Source organism: Homo sapiens, chromosome 1 (genome assembly GCF_000001405.40).
Source record: "Homo sapiens chromosome 1, GRCh38.p14 Primary Assembly".
Taxonomy (NCBI): Eukaryota; Metazoa; Chordata; class Mammalia; order Primates; family Hominidae; genus Homo; species Homo sapiens.
The window spans coordinates 94844554-94861156 of record NC_000001.11 but is presented as its reverse complement, the minus strand read 5'-3'; the positions used below and the strand labels follow the sequence as shown (position 1 = coordinate 94861156).

The 16603-nt window shown below is 45.4% G+C and overlaps 1 protein-coding gene across 26 annotated transcripts in view; it reads right to left on the bottom strand.

The window, feature by feature from the left end:
* SLC44A3 (solute carrier family 44 member 3) overlaps window positions 1-16603 on the bottom strand; it is a 74891-nt gene that overhangs the window by 34091 nt on the left and 24197 nt on the right. For 25 of the 26 annotated variants that reach the window (NR_146575.2, XR_946543.3, XM_005270442.3 and 22 more), the window contains 2 exons: window positions 15693-15879; window positions 3657-3822 (listed from right to left, as the gene is read on the bottom strand). Coding sequence is in view for 24 of the 26 variants with exons in the window: in XM_005270442.3 (XP_005270499.1) it covers window positions 3657-3822; window positions 15693-15879 (353 nt within the window). In the remaining 2 variants the exon portion in view is untranslated. The remainder of the gene's footprint in view (window positions 1-3656; window positions 3823-15692; window positions 15880-16603) is intronic. The other variant, XM_047444914.1, reaches the window with a different exon arrangement.

Below are 16603 nucleotides of genomic sequence, written 5' to 3'. Positions count from 1 at the left end.
TAAATAATATTCACAACTGATCTAAGTAGCATATTCCAATTAGATTCCCTTCCTGTACAACTTTTTTTTTCTGAAGTTAATTGTTTCACATTTTTTTATTAGCTTGGATTTCCATGGGCCTCACCGAACGCTTCACCAACGTGTAATGCTTTTCTTAACGTGTTCGAACACACCTGGTATTCCCTCAGTTCCATTTTCTTTTCATGGTGACATCTCTCCTGGAGCCCATTGTCTACCTTGGACTGGACGCTTTCCACGCCTGCTGCGCAGCTACCCTCCTGGGAATTCCTTGCTCTGCTCTGCTCAAGCCTGTTTTCTGAAACTCATGTTTTCCTCTCTGGCTTACACATGAGTTTCAGTGGGGAACATCCCTGCTAGAAAGGATGAGGGCAGGGAAATCTTGGGACTGCCTGTGCATGACTTTGTTCTTCTTTACCCTTGACTGGTAGTAAGAATAGGTATACAACTCTATACTAGGTATAGACTGGCTATACAATTCTAGGTTGGAAATAATCTTTCACTAGACTTCTACAGCCTTCCTTCACTGTTTTTCTGGTTCAGAGTTGCTGGTGAAAGTCAGATCCTATTCTGGGTCCTTGATCCTTTGCCTGTGATCTTTTTTCCCTCGGGAAGCTTCTGGAATCTTCTTTTTACTTGTGTCCTCCAGCCCTGGCAAATTTTCTTTGTTAATTTCCTCTCTTTCTTCTTTTCTTTGTTCTGTATTTCTGGGCTCATATTAATCAGATAGTGGGTCTCCCAAATTTATCCTCTTTTAATCCTTTCTCTCTTATTTTGTGTCTCTTTGTCTTTTTATTCTACCTTCTGAAAGAGTGCTTCCACTTTATATTTTAATCCTTCAATAGAAAATGTTCACTTTTGTAATCATACTTTTAATTACTCAAGAGTCTTGTTTTCTCACTATGCCCTTCTTTTGTTGGTGGGAGGGGATCCTAGCAATACATCTTTGTTCTCTCTGATAATATTATAGTTTGCTTTGTTGTTTCCTTTTGCAGCCTGCATTGTCTCCGTTTTCCCTAAGCTCATTTTATTTGTTCATTTTGATCTCTTCTTTCACTTAGAGGCATTCATCATGTTTAATAATCACTGGTAAACAGTTCAAATTGAAGAGTGAGGCTCTCCAGAATGACCTGGAAGCTCTGTGTGAGGCATGTTGCTTGTTGTCTGATGAGCTTCACTGTTTTGCTAGGAGTCAGGGAATCCATTTCATTGGGGGACCCCATATGGCACTATCTGTAGGTCTTTACTTTGGGTTAGGCAGTTTCTCCACAAAAGCATCCTCTAACCTCTTCCTAGGGAATATCAAATGAGCTGCCAACATTCTGGGAGCTGAACTGTGGAATGTGGGGTGCTGGTGTATGTGGGGGACCTCATTTCAGTGTTTAGGCTTTCACTTACTCCCCCTGCTTTCAGTACAGAGACTTGCCCCCAGCCTCAGCTGTACCTGATACCCCAAGTCCAGGCCCTCTCTGCTTTCCCTCTCTGGAGAACAAATTTTCCTGTCTTCAGCTGGTGTGGAATTTGGGGGTCTAACTACTCCTGAGGAAGGCTTTCAGCTAATCTTTGGAAATACTTTTTATACTTGAATTCCTGAGCCTCTCTGGGATTCTGTGGCTCACTTCAGGCTGCATCTTATTTGTCCTCCTCATGCAGCCAACACACACGGACAGGCTGCTTCTGCTTTCTCCAGCGGGCTTAGGGCACTGCTCCACCTCCCTCTCTTTGGCTCTCACCATTTGGTTGGTGTTTCTTATCTGCTGTCATTGCCTCTCTGTTTCTTACTGTCCTGGTGTGTTTGTGCCTGTTTCAATCTTTCATGATTTTTTGAGTGGCTGGAGAAAGGGAAGAGATTAGGAGATAAATGCATATGCTTCACTGGAAGTCCAAATTAGAAGTCCTCATTGAAAATGCTTTGATTTTGTTATTCTAAGATAACACAAAATTACTGTCAGGCAAATATTACCTGCTGGCAAATTTGGTTAGAATACTCTCTTTGCTCCCCTACCTGGGAGGAAGCAATACACACAACCCACCCCCGGCTGCTTGGAGGTTCTCAATGCCAAGGGCAACAGCCCCTCTGTGAGTCCTCTGGAGTCTCTAATGATGGAGGCTCCGGAACTGCACCACTACATTAAAAACCCACAGTGGTGGCCGGGTGTCGTGGCTCATCCTGTAATTCCCAGCACTTTGGGAGGACTAGGCGGGTGGATCACAAGGTCAAGAGATCGAGACCATCCTGGCCAACATGGTGAAACCCCAGCTCTGCTAAAAATACAAAAATTAGCCAGGCGTGGTGGTGGGCGCCTGTAGTCCCAGCTACTCGGGAGACTGAGGCAGGAGAATCACTTGAACCCAGGAAGCAGAGGTTGCAGTGAGCCAAGATCGTGCCGCTACACTCCAGCCTGGGCGACAGAGCAAGACTCCGTCTCAATAAACAAACAAACAAACAAACAAACAAACAAACACCCGACAGTGCTCCTTATCATCAGGAGGAAACTGCTCAATGGCAGGAATCACCCCTGGCAGATAGTCTCTCCCAATGAAGCTCATGTTTCTCTCTCATTTGGTCTGAGAGGCTGGAGGAGGATCAGCCCTATGAAGAGTAAACTTCTCTTTCTGAGCCCAGTCCTGCCATTGCCCTGGCTGGGTTCCTCTGTCCTGAGGGCTCTCACTGCCCTGGGGTGAGTCACACACACAGAAGAGGTAAAGCGTTCAGGGGTGTGTGTGTTTGTGTGTGTCCTCAATTGCTTTCATGATGTGATAGGGATATAAGCAGAGAAGTGTGTAACTAATTCACTGGTTCTTAACTATAATATAAATTATATTTTGTAATTACATACAATTCCTTTAGGATTAATTTTTTTCCCCAAGCAAATGTTATCTGATTTTGCAGAGGACAAACTGAGGCTCACAGAATTTACTGAAGTATATTCAAAATAGACCAGTAATTTTTTTGTCTGAAGTCAATTAGGATGGATATTCATAGGGGAGTTCCACCCTTCCTTTTTTTAATATTAAAAGAATGGCAGCCAGGTGCGGTGGCTCACACCTGTAATCCCAGCACTTTGGGAGGCCGAGGCAGGCATATCACGAGGTCAAGAGATCAAGACCATCCTGGCCAACATGGTGAAACCCTGTCTCTACTAAAAATACAAAAATCAGCCGAGTGTGATGGCGCATGCCTTTAGTCCCAGCTACTTGGGAGGCTGAGGCAGAAGAATCGCTCGAACCCAGGAGGCGGAGCTTGCAGTGAGCCAAGATCGCGCCACTGCACTCCAGCCTGGATGACAGAGCAAGACTCCATCTCAAAAAAAAAAAAAAAAAAAAAAGGCTACTCCATAGGCAGAGCAGCCCCTTTTTATCTTTCAAGTCTAAGCAATATGATCTCTTTTCTGTTTGTCTTCTTTCTAAATTTTCTAGCTTAAAGTAAAAAGGTTGGAAATGTGACAGATTTAGGGTGTAATATTTCTTCTCACCACCAAATGAGAATACAGCCCAAATTTTAGCTTACTCTTTTATTCTTGCCAACTTCTTTTAAGGGGCTAGGTCAACATTCCCAAATATCTTTTGAGATATTAACATGAAGCACATAGATAAACCACATAGACAAACCAATAGAAAAAAAACACTGGACCTACCTGTTGAAATAACAAGTAACCACTGCCCCAGCTATAGTCATTTGCTGGCACGCAAGGATGAATTCACTAGTCCAGATGAGGCCAATTAAATGGTACGACCACATGTACCGAATGCCCGAAAGGGGCTTATATTCCACTTGGCCGCCTTCCATAACCTGGGCAGCTCCTAAAGTTTCAAACACAAACATGCTTTACACCAATGTTTTCCTAAGCATGAACCATGGTTCAACAAGCCATGTTTCTTTATGCTTGGCCTTTGGCATTACATAAAACAAATGCCAAAATCAAGTACCCACCATAATTTAAAATATACAAAAATCAAAATCAAAAACACACATTTAACTTCTAAATAACACCAACGGTGATAATTACAGTGACCATTGGTAGGCAATTTCCAAGACACCTGACATATGCTATAATACTCATCCCACTTTGTGGATGTGAAAACTGAGGTTTAGAAGAGGCAAGTAGGCTGGGTGTGGTGGCTCATGCCTGTAATCCCAGCACTTTTGGAGGCTGAGGTGGGCGGATCACCTGAGGTCAGGAGTTCAAGACCAGCCTGATCAACATGGTGAAAGTCCACCTCTACTAAAAATACAAAAATTAGCCAAGCATGGTCGCAGGCACCTGTAGTTCCAGCTATTCGGAAGGCTGAGACAGGAGAATCTCTTGAACCTGGGAGGCGAGGGTAGGAGTGAGCCGAGATCACGCCACTGCACTCCAGCCTGGGTGACAGAGCAAGATTCCAGTCTCCAAAAAAAAAGAAGAAGAAGAAGAGGCAAGTAACTTTTGTAAAGTCTCAGAGCTCAAAATTAGTAGAAGGAGAATATAAACCTAAACACATGGGACTCTAAAAATCCGTAGTTTTCCTACCATATGACTTTGTGATGCAAACCAAACTCAGCACGTTGATGAAACCACACAAAGCTTTTAGTATCACATTATAGAATCCTACTTCACCAAAAATTTAAACTTTATAAAAGAGACAAGGGTCTTTGTTATCTCAAAAGGATCTATTTCAGATTTCATTTCAAGAGCAAACTCTCTTAGCACATTTAAAATATCTACTGGGCCTCAGTGTTAACCTTCCCAGGTTCAGATCCCAGCTTTACCCCTTTGTGGGTAACCCTGGACAAGTTATTTGGCTTCCTGGAGTTTTAGATTCCTTATCTGGAATACCTGGAGGAGTTTTAGATTCCTTATCTAGAATACCTATTTCCTGGTGGTATTTTGAGCACGGAGTGAGAGTACTTGGAAAGTACTTGGTATAGTGCCCAACCCATAGACATATCGCGCCATAAGTGATAATGGTTTATTACTATCATTAAATTTCAGGAGCACAGTACTACTTTCAACTGAGGCCAGCAAGGTCACCGTAACAACTTTTTGCCATTCACGTGGCTATACCCTGCTTTCTTTTCTCTCCTCTAAAGAAGTCCTTGAATTAGCTCTGCTGGTAAATCCACTGGTAAATCCAAATTTACTCTGCTGGTAAATCCACTGGTAAATTCACTGGTAAATCCAAATCCCAGCTTTGTGGCTGCATATGATTTCTAGATCTTTTCCCACTATGGATTTTAAAACAACTACTACTGGGAAGAAGATGCATGCTCTGGTCTTTGGTGAAACCTATAGCTTGAAGAACATTTAGAGATTGTTTCATATTTCCTGCCATAGCTATAAATTGACTTTAGGCTCGTCATTCAGGAGTCCTTAGATATTCACAGTAGGGTCTGTGTGAAGGAAAGGGGAGGATATCCGTGCTGTAGATCAAAAACTGATTCCACTGACTAAGGCTGATCTTAATTCCCAAGCTCTATGTTCTGCTGAACAAGAATTACATTGTAAGAAACAGTGGAACAGCTTGATTTATAGAGAGGTTAATGTTTTATGAATGCTGGGCTCACTTTGGCTTGGAGGCAATCTCTGTTTTGGGTAAGGCATGGATAAATGCCTATGGTTTTCTAAGATGGGGTGATTCAGGGCATGCTTCAGGAAACATTCCCAATTCCAGAGGAGGTGGCCCCTCCCAAACAGAATGCCTGTTAGGTAGATGAGGTCAGTGGACTCTGAGAACCACTCTGGAATATGAGAAGTGCTCTGAGCCAGGGAAGAAGTACCTGCTCCTCCTACAAGGCCCAGCAGTATCAGCGACAGATTATGCTTTTGCAAAACTAGGTTTACAATATCACGAATAGTTTGCGGGCGGAGAATATTTCCACAGAACAGGAAGGATGATTTCTTCAGACAGACAAAGGTAAGTATGTCCTACAGGACCTGGACGCTAATGGGGGCCAGACTCTCCTCTCAGCTGCCCTGTGCTGTCAAGTGCACATATACGCACACCTCCCAACCTGGCACAGTCAGCGGTGGGAGCAGCTGAAGTGATGAGTCAAGATCCGCTTAGACATTATTTGGCATTCCCCCAAAGAATGGCATTTGGCACTCCCCAAAGAAGCAGAACCTGCAAGTTATTTTTGAGTGATCACTATTGTTTCTGAACATCCTTATCAAAGCCATCTTCTATTTGTTCCTGGGGCTGTTTAGGACTTTCCTTTAGGGCAGGGTTTCTCACCGACATTGTGGACCAGATCTTCGCTGGGGCTGGGGCTGGGGCTGGGGCTGTCCTGCGCACTGGAGGGTGTTAGCAACAAGCCTCGCCTCTCTACACAGATGCCAGGAAGCTCTCCCTCCCCTCCCACAGCCACGACAACCCAAAAATGTGTCCACACATTGCCAAATGCCATATCAGGGGCAAAAAGTCACCGGGGGGCGCGGGGGGCTTGAGAACCATTGGTTTAGACAAACGTTCAGGGGCGCTCTGGCTTCAGGGCGAAAGCCGGGAAACAGGTTGGATCTAGCTCGGAGTCTGCGGTTGCAGAGCCTGTGGGTGGGGTAGACGTGCTTAGGCACACATGACTGCCCTCTCCTGGATGGCTGTGTGAATGCAGGCAAGATCCCCTCATCACATGACAGTTGCTTTGTCTCTATGGACTGGGCACTACAGCTACTATCATGGGTAGCTAATGGGTGTTAATGGGAGGTAGACTATGGGTAGATCCCAAGATATGACAGATCTCAGGGGATGGTGGTGGGAAGAGCACTGAATTGTGAGAAGGCTTGGTTCCAGGCTCAGCTTTGAAATGTGTGACAAACAATGTGGGCCACAGCTCTCTGATGGTGAAGAAGAGAGTAGGCAAGATGAACTTGGGACAGTGATTACTGGCTTGGGCTTGAGAGTCACACAGGCTGAGAGTCACATCTCTGCACTGTCCCCTAAGCAACCTCCTGCAAATAGTGGGACTTTTTTTGAAATCTGCTTCATCACTTGAAATCGGAGAATGGTAATACCTACTTCTCACACCCTTGGTGATCTCGTCCTGTCTTGTGGCTTTTAGTGCAATACACATAGCTGTTATGAGTTAAGTATAATAAACAGGTAAGGCTCTTAGAATAGTAAGTGCAATAGGGTCAGCTACAGTGAGTGCCACACAGGGTTAGCTATAAATGAGATATAGGTAGATAGAATTCCAATTCTGAAATTAACTTAAACATTTATTGAGCATCTACTCCATGCTGGTATTATGCTGGACCTCAGCTATTAGGCGGAACAATAAATGAGGCAAAAAAAAAAAAAATCAGAGAGAGGATACCATCTGAGTTACTATCAGAAACTTACATGCTCCCATATTGGTCCATTTGTTTCCCCTTCTTCTGCCCAACTGTTTTATAAATTCCCCCTTCAACCTTCAAGAGCTTCCTTCCCATCCTCACTCTCAGCCCATGATCTTACCTCCTGTTTCACTGAGAAAACTGATGCAATCAGAAAACCTCTGCTAGTGCTGACCACCTCACACCTAACCTGCTATCAACACGGGTCCATAATCTGAGTCCTCTCCCAGAACATGATATTAATAAATGGCCCATGATCCTATGGCCACACTTCACCAGATCCCATTCTTTCTAACCTGTGTGAACATAACTCTTCAATAATTTTCACCCTCTTCATCAAAATCTTTCTCTCTATTGAATCATTCGCAACTATCTCCCATCTTTAAGAAAAATCTACTGTGGACTCTTTCCTCTTCCAGCTTCCTCTCCATTTCTGTTCCTTTTAACAGTGAAATTCCTCAAGATTGTCTATACTTACTCTTTCCAATTCTTTTCCTCCCACTTTCTCTTCACCTACTCCAATCATGATTATTCAGTGGTCAATCCTCAGTTCTTCCTTTAGCGGCAGCACTTGCCACACTGGACCGCGCACATCTCTGTGAAACCCTTCACCTGCATTCCAGGGCCCCACACTCCACCCCTTCTCCTTCGACCCACTGGTCACTCCCTTTCAGTCTTCTCTGTTTGTTCTCCCTCATCTCCCGGGCATCCTGAAGTGCCTCAAAGCACAGTCCTTGGATTTCTTCCCTTCTCTATCTACATTCATTCTAATCTCATGGTTTTAAATACTATTAATATGTTCCCAAGTTCCTAAATGTGAATCCCAGCCAGGACCTCCTCCACTAACTTCAGACTCAGATAGCTAACTGCCTACTTGACATCTCCATCTGGTGGTCTAAAAGACATTTCAATTAAAGCAACTAAAAATTAATTTCTGATCTACCCCTAAAATGCTATACTCAAATTCTTGCCCCATATATCAGTTTATGGCAAAGTTATCTTCCAGTTGCTCAGGCCAAAATCCCTCAGAGTCTTCTCCAACTCCTCTTTCTTTCATGTAACCAGAAAATCCAATTTGCTCTACCTTCAAAATAGATGCAGAATCTAATATGTCATGCCACTTCCAACATTATGACCTATTCCAAGCCACCATCCTCTTCTTACTGAATCACTGCTATTAAAATGTAGTCAGGTCAAGATTTTATTCTGCTTAAAATCCTGTAAAGACTTCTTCCCAATTCAGGTTAGAAGCCAAAGTTCCTACAAAGGCCAGAAAGGCCCCAGGATCTGACTGTGTGCACCCTGACTCCCCTCTGAACCAAGCTCTCCCTCGCCCACTCCACTCTCGCTGAATAGGCTTCCCTTGCTGTGCCCTAGAACTCCAGCCTCTTGCCAGCCTCTGTGCCTGGGATGTTTCCCCTTGCTTTAGATGGTCTTATGGCTCTGCACTCACCTACTTCAAATCTTTCTGCATCATCACCTTCTCAGTGAGGCACCCCTGATCGTCAAATTTAAAATGACACCCTGCCCCCTCATGCATTTCCTATTTGTCCTTTCTGCTTAATTTTTCTCCATGCCACTTATCAACTTTTAAAGTACTATAACATTGACTGACTTACTTTATTTAAAGCCTGTCTCCTTCTACCCTCCAAATTGGAAGAAAAGCTGTATCTCCAGCATTTTTAATAGGGTCTGACACACAGTAAATATTCAATAAATATTTGTTGATTGAATGAATGAATGGATATATCTTCCTCAAGTAATATATTCTATTAAAGAGATTTGGAGACAATTTTCTAGAGATCTTCCTTGAGAGCATCAAAATAATCTGAAAGATATTCATAGTGCAGTTAGCTGTAAGTCTGGATATTATTAGCAAGCTTTAAAGCATTTCAAAAGACTAAGGTGATATAATGATTGTTATAGATGGCAGTTCCTTATGGAAGGCAGTCCAGCTGGTCAGGATAATTCCCCAAGGGAAGCAGGCCTAATTTGGAGGGGTTCTACTTTCCAGCACATTCTGTGCACTTGGCCTTGTCCAGCAAACTGGCCCAAGAGTCCTGCCAGCCCCAGCCTGCTGACATTCATCCTGCCTGTGTCTCCCACTGGCTTCAGCTTCGGCTCTGGCAGCATGAGGATTAGGAAAAAAGAGAGGAAAATCTCATTGACAGGCAGCCTGCAATATATGAGTTCTTCATGTATCCATCTCATTTCACAACCATGACACTGATGTGATGTTATTCCCTGGGTCAGCACCCCTAACTGAATCCATTCAGGTAGGGAACTGAGCTAAGAGACACAGAAAGAAAAAGGCATGGTCCTGGCCCTCACGTGTTCTTCCTCTTGTGGGATGACAATACATCTTGCTTTATTGTTCATAGCATTTATCACTAAGGGATGCATATTTCCTTATTCACTGCCTCTATGCCCACCCAGTAGAATGTCAGGCCTGGAGAGCAGAACTGCTGTCTTGTTCACTGCTGTATCTCAAGTACCCAGGGCATGTAGTGTGACTCCAGGGCTGACAGGGCAGGCATGAGATAAATAGTTGTTGAAAGAATGAAGAATATAAAATATGCAAGGAAAAAAATGGAGGAGAAATATCTAAGTATGGCTGAGAAATTTATAGGAGATTTTCCAAGAATAATAATACTCAAACCAATCTTGAAGAATGACTAGTTTGGGGAAGCAGTTTAGGGGGAGAGTTGGGGTGAGAGTTGGGCAGGGGAGGGGATTCTAGAGGAAGATCCCAGCAGGAGCAAAGGTATGGGGATGTGCATGGAGACTGCTTTCCTTTGCACCTTCCCAAAGGGACCAGGAACTTCTGAAATGCAGGAGCTGTTTCAACTCTCTCCCGTGCAACCTCCCTTTACTCTTTTCCTAGAACAAGACTGGGCCACTAGCAGGCTTTTGCAAAATAACTTCAATTATCTTCTAGATCTCTGAAAACTTAAAAAAAAGACAATTTTCTTCTAAATTGTGTTATTGAATGTGCCAGAGAAAGCAAAGAATAAACTACAGAGCTGAAGGTACTAGATGTTCCTTGGTCAACATTAATTCCTAACATAAAAAATACATATGGTCCCTTATTTGCAAAGCAAAGCTCTTGTCTCATCTCAGCCTCCTAACATCCTTGTGAGGCAACCTTACATCAGTTTTCCATTGCAAAAATGGCAAAAAGGAAGCAGAGGCAGAGCCAGCCTGGGTTCCAGGTCATTTGATGGGAAACCTATGGAAAACTCTCTGTCTGACCCTGCTGCCTCCTTTCCAAGCTCACCCCTTTGTGTATCCCAAGTACACGGTGTATGCTGTGTGCAGTCCTGTGATTAAATCTTCTAACTGCAGCACAGACCTCGCGGGAAGTCCACTCCCTGCCAAAATCCAATATGGTTCTCTTCTATTGTACAGACTCTGGAGCTTCCAGACCACCTTAATGAACACTGGAGGTGACCAGGTCATCTGAGCTCTTTCCAACCTACCAGATTACCAAGGTTACCACAGTTTTCACTTTTTCCTATTGGATTTTAGTAATTACTGTCTTATTGCTGGTACCAGACAAATCCCAATGGACTACTAAATGTCATTGTTGGGTGGTGCAAGATGGGGGCTTGATATGACCTGCTGAAAAAAAATCCCCAAACAAGTCAGAATTTGTCAACTAGTCAAAAGAATGATTAACAGTCATTAGAAAAATAGCCCATCTGGGCAAAAATGATCAACCCAAGTTCACTCCTATTTTTTTTAATGCAGTAAAAAATAGTATTCATTCAACCATCTGACACAACTATTTGGGTGGCTCACGCCTATAATCCCAAAACCTTGGGAGGCCAAAGCAGGTGGATTGCTTGAGCCCAGGATTTCTAGACCAACCTGGGCAACACGGCAAAATCCTGTCTCTACAAAAAAATACAAAAATTAGCTAGGCATAGTGGCATGTGCAGCCCCAGCTACTGGGGAGGCTGAGATGGGAGGATCGCTTGAGCCCGGGAGGTTGATGCTACACTTGAGTCTGAGCAACAGATTGAGGCCCTGTCTCAAGAAAAACAAACAAACAAAAACCAACAAAAAACAAAACACAAAAACAAACAAACAACTATTTATGTACTGAGGACGCCCACACACAAAACTGGGCGCTAACTGAAGAGTGTGTCTGTCCCCGCTGAAGCTGCCTGTGGGACGTGGAATGAGACAATCGGGCACTGTGCAGCGGGCTCGCCACCCGATCACCTGGCGCCTCTTCATAAGAGGTGAAAGCGGCTCAGAGTCCCTCTCAAGTGTTAGCTGGGGCATCTTCTGAAGATCAAAAAGTGATTCAGCTGCTGATCTGCCCAGCCGCAGAGCCAGGCTCTCTGGCACTGGTGAAAAGGCCTCTGAGAACAAAGGGGACCCTGTGCACCTGGGTCGGCCACAGGCAGGTGGAAGGAGGGGACGGGTGATTTGGTTTCTATGATGCCTGACCCCAGCGGGGTGGGGAAGGGGGGTGGTGGCTCTGCGTAGCACCTTCTCTCCTGAGAAGCCTAAAATCGACCTGCTCATAGATGCCTCCCATAGGTCCGGGGCACCCAGTTTCCTTTCTGGCCCCTCTACTGTTCTCGCTGTTTGCTGCTTGCACTAACAGTGAATCGTCACACTTCACTGTGTGATCCTGAGAGGTGGCTGCAGAATGACACGCTACCTTCAGCCCTGAAGAATAACCTCCAGGTCTCTCTTGCAGTGGAGGCTACTAAGCCCTGGGCCCAACCTAGACCTAGTCAGGGGCACAGGCTGGCAGTTAAGGGGCACAGGCTGGCAGTTCATGCCCAAGTCAGCCTTGGGGCTTGCTCCTTTCTGACTTCACTGGCCTGGGCTCTTCCCTTGACCTCTGTGGCCAGGTCCTCTCCTTGTGCTGCCTTGACTTCTGCTGCATCCCCCTTTGCCTCTTTCTGTATTTTCTGACCTGGCGATTTCCAGCCTGCCCTCTAAGAAGCCCTCCCTGACTCACAGCATGGGTTACGGCCTTGTTCTGGTGTTCCCATAGCTCCCCAGATTTCTCTGATCATCACATCCATCAATCTTCACTGCGATCACACGTTTCATTGTTGGACCATCCTGCTTGACTATAAGTACTGAGGGCAGAGAGTCGACCTCAATCCTGTTCCCTACCTCTCCCTAGTGCCGTGCTCAGCGCCTCATCCCCACAGTGCCCACCAAATACTTCTGAATTAAATTAAAACCATCCCTGCTCCAAAACATCATGGGGTCTAGCCACAGACACAGTTCCCCTTATCCAGATTCACAGCCAACAAGGGGCCCCCTGGCTGGGCCAGCTGCACCTAAGGAGGTGGGAAGAGGAGGGTCCTTCACTGGTCCTGAGCCATATTTCCTAAGACCTCACTGTTTCTCTGATGATTCTCTAGAGGCTAGGGTTCAAGCCCTACAGTGCTGCTGCCCAGGGCCACTGCCACCACCTCCATCACACCTCATCCCCAGCTGGCTCTAGCTGTCAACCTCCAGCCCCAGACACATTATGGGCACAGCCCACATCCACCAGCCAACTGCTGTGGTCCCTGATACAGCTTCATTCTGAGCAAACTTGAAGAGGCCTATTTTTTTTTTTTTTTGAGACAGAGTCTCACTCTGTGGCCCATGCTGGAGTGCAGTGGTGTGGTCTCAGCTCACTGCACCCTCCGCCTCCCGGGTTCATGCTATTCTCCTGCCTCAGCCTCCCGAGTAGCTGGGACTATAGGCGCCCGCCACCACGCCCGGCTAAGTTTTCTGTATTTTTAGTAGAGACGGGGTTTCACCGTGTTAGCCAGGATGGTCTCGATCTCATGACCTCATGATCCGCCCGCCTTGGCCTCCCAAAGTGCTGGGATTACAGGCGTGAGCCACTGCACCCGGCCTAAAGAGGCCTATTTTTATTTCCTAGCTTTGGATCCCAGATGCAAGGGAGGTGTAAGGTAGTGGAAAGAGCACAGGCTCCATTCCAAAGCTCTAGAGTCACAGCACGTCATGCCTCCCAGCTGTATGACCTCCGGCACATGACTTCCTCAGAATCTCAATTTTCCTGCCTGTAACTTGAACATAACAATACCCACATCACACGGGGACTGTGATGCCTGGGGGACAGAACATAAGAAAGCATCCAGTACAGAGATTAGAATCTAGGACATTTTCAACAAAGGCTTGTTTCCCTTCATGCACCGGGGCCACTGCCCTCCCTTCTGACCAGGGCTGAGCCCACTTCAAGCTCGCTAGAGGAAGGCCATCCAATGCTGAGACTTCACCTGTCTCACGATATCTATTCTCCCCTCTTTTCTTGGTTATAGAACCTCTGATTGGTGCGTGCCTGCCCAAAATGAAACTACATTTCCTGGTGTCCCTTGCAGATAAGCACTGCTATGTAACTGGGACCTGGCTGATGAGGTGTGGGTGGAAGCGCCACCTGTGACTTCTGGGAGGGGCATGCTCGCTTTCCTCCCTGCCACCCTCCTCAAGGTCGGAATAAGACATGGCAGTGGGAGCCTGAGCAGCCTTTCACTATGAGGTGGAAGCAAGGGCAGAGGCTGCAGAAGAAGAAAGCGGGTGCCTGAGTCCTTGAGCGCTAGAGAACTAGGCTGGCATGGATCCTCTCCATGTGGACTTCATCTGTGTGACAGAGAAATTACCTTACATCCTACTTTAGCCACTGTTGTTTTGAGTTTTCTTTCACTTCCAGACAAACCTCATTCTGATGGATTATACCCTTTTGACCAATGTTCCTCCCTGGGTAATTATCAGAAGTTCACTGCAGGCCTTCAGCGAGCTTCCAGGGAGCCCCTAGTAGAAGACTGCCCCTATGCACCTCTGAAGGTGGAAACATAGGCCTCCAAGGGCCATGCCTTCCAGGCAGCCTGCTGACGATCTTGGCACTGTGGCCTCAGTTAGCTCCAGAGGAGAAGGAAGGGGACTGAGTTTACTAAGAATCTATTACATGGCAGCTGTTCTTACTTATATGACTGGAGCCAGTAAGGGACAAGATAAACTTGAGAAAACATTAAGGAACTGCATCAGCCTTGCTGATTTGACATCAGCTGTGGTCCTTATCAGTCTGGTGACAGTATCAGGAAGCCACTTACTCTTTTGTACTTGCATCCATGTGTACTGAATTTGGGCCTTAAGAAAATCAAACAGAGGAGTTAGAAAAGATCTGGACAGTGCCACTCAAAGTGTGGTCCACAGAAAAGCTGTCTAACCTCACATTGTTAGTAAGATAAAAAGCTTGTGCCAGAATGTAGATCAACTGCATCACTAAGCACATCGTTTCTCAGCTGACAGTTTCTTCCATAGCAAAACTTTCTCAATGAAGGAAGCAATGGAATGACGTCCATTCTAGCTAAGCTCCTTATCTGGCTTCAGACTGCACTCTGAATAGTGCTGCTTTAGAATATGCTTGCCCTGTTACGGAGCTTTACAAGAACATATACTAGGTCCCACCGCAAACCACGTGAATCAATCTCTGAGGCTGGCACCCAGATAACTGTATTTTAATAAAGCACCAAAGCTGATTCTGAGAAATAGCCCTGGTGAAGAACCACTGTGTGGATATGAAAAAAGGATGGAGGAGAGAATCTTGTCTTTTCAGGACCAAGGCATGTGAACTATGAGTTTGCTTTAAATGTACACTGGCTCTGCTGGGCATAACACTTTTTTTTTTTTTTTTTGAGACAGAGTCTTGCTCTGTCACCCAGGCTGGAGTGCAGTGGCGCAATCTCGGCTCACTGCAACCTCCACCTCCCAGGTTCAAGCAATTATCCTGCCTCAGCCTCCCCAGCAGCTGGGATTACAGGTGCACGCCACCACGCCCAGCTAATTTTTGTATTTTTAGTACAGACGGGGTTTCACCATGTTGGTCAGGCTGGTCTCAAACTCCTGACCTCGTGGTCTACCTGCCTTGGCCTACCAAAGTGCTGGGATTACAGGCATGAGCCATAGCACCCGGCTGCACAATATATTTTTAATAGAGTCTTTCCTGGGTTCTTCTTTGTCACCTACTGATTTGATAGGGGTTGGCAAATTACCTTGGATAAAACTCATACCTGGAGACATCTGGTAATATTCTTGCTGTTGGCCTTTGTTCATATTGTAGTTTTTCCTAGAGCTTTCAGTCCTTACTGAATTTATTCTCTCATGAAACACAAACCCAGCTTCTTTAAAACCAATATAGAAGAGGTAAAAGAACTTCCCACTTTTCCCCATGACAGAGCCCCAAGCACCAACGCTGCTGTCATCAGACACCTCTGGCTCAATGAGGGGTTAGGTGCCTACAGAAACAGGCCAGTGGTTCCAAAATGGTCTTCTGTGTATGACTCCAAGGTGATGGAACCCACACCCACTGTCCCTTACCTGCAGTTCCCAGGCTCAGCAGCACAGCCACCCAGAGGACCCAGAAGAAAATGAGGATGGCAAATGTCCACAGTGGCTGGAACAGCAGGAAGGGAGCACTGCTGATGGCTTTATTTGTGATTTGGAAAAGCTCAACTGTCAATTTTATTCTCTTTCTGAGAACAAAAATCAAGACGAGCAGCACTGCCTGGTGAGAAAGGGATTTGAGTAAATTACTTCCAAATAATGGAGAACTGGGTAGAGCTTAAAGCAAGCCCTACTATTATTATGACATCTCAGCAAACAGCTCTTTTAAGATAGTTACTCACTACTTTGTTATAATTTTACAGATGCATTCGCAAACACTAACTGAGCATCTAGTAAGTGCTGGTCCCTGGAATAGATCTTAATAGACATAATAGCGAAGAAGACACAGTCCCTCCATAAAGGGCCTTGTAGTCTGGTCAGTGAAAAAGATAAAATGAGAATAAGGTCTTCTAATGTCAAGGAACTGTCTTATATCCTCCCCTCCACATCCCACAGAACCCAAGATATTGCAAAAGTCAAGGGAATATGAGTATGAGGCAAAAAGACTCAAAGCCACCTTCTGTGCCTTCTTCTAGCTTTCCCTCCCTGCATATAAACATTTACAAATCTCATATTAATGAAACAAACCATTCTGCACCCCTCCATCCCCATCCAGCCACTGCCGTCTCTTACTGTTTTCATGGCCGAGCTTCTTGGCTTGTCTACACCCATCATCTGTATTTCCATACCCCAACTCATTCTTCAACCACCCACAAACATCCAGATCCCAACACTCTTTTGAAACAGCTCTCTCTGAAGTCACTTCATGTGACCTCCTGAATGTTAAATGCCATGGAAACATTCCAGGTCTTGCTTGACTTCAGCATAGCATTAGATCCCTTGTC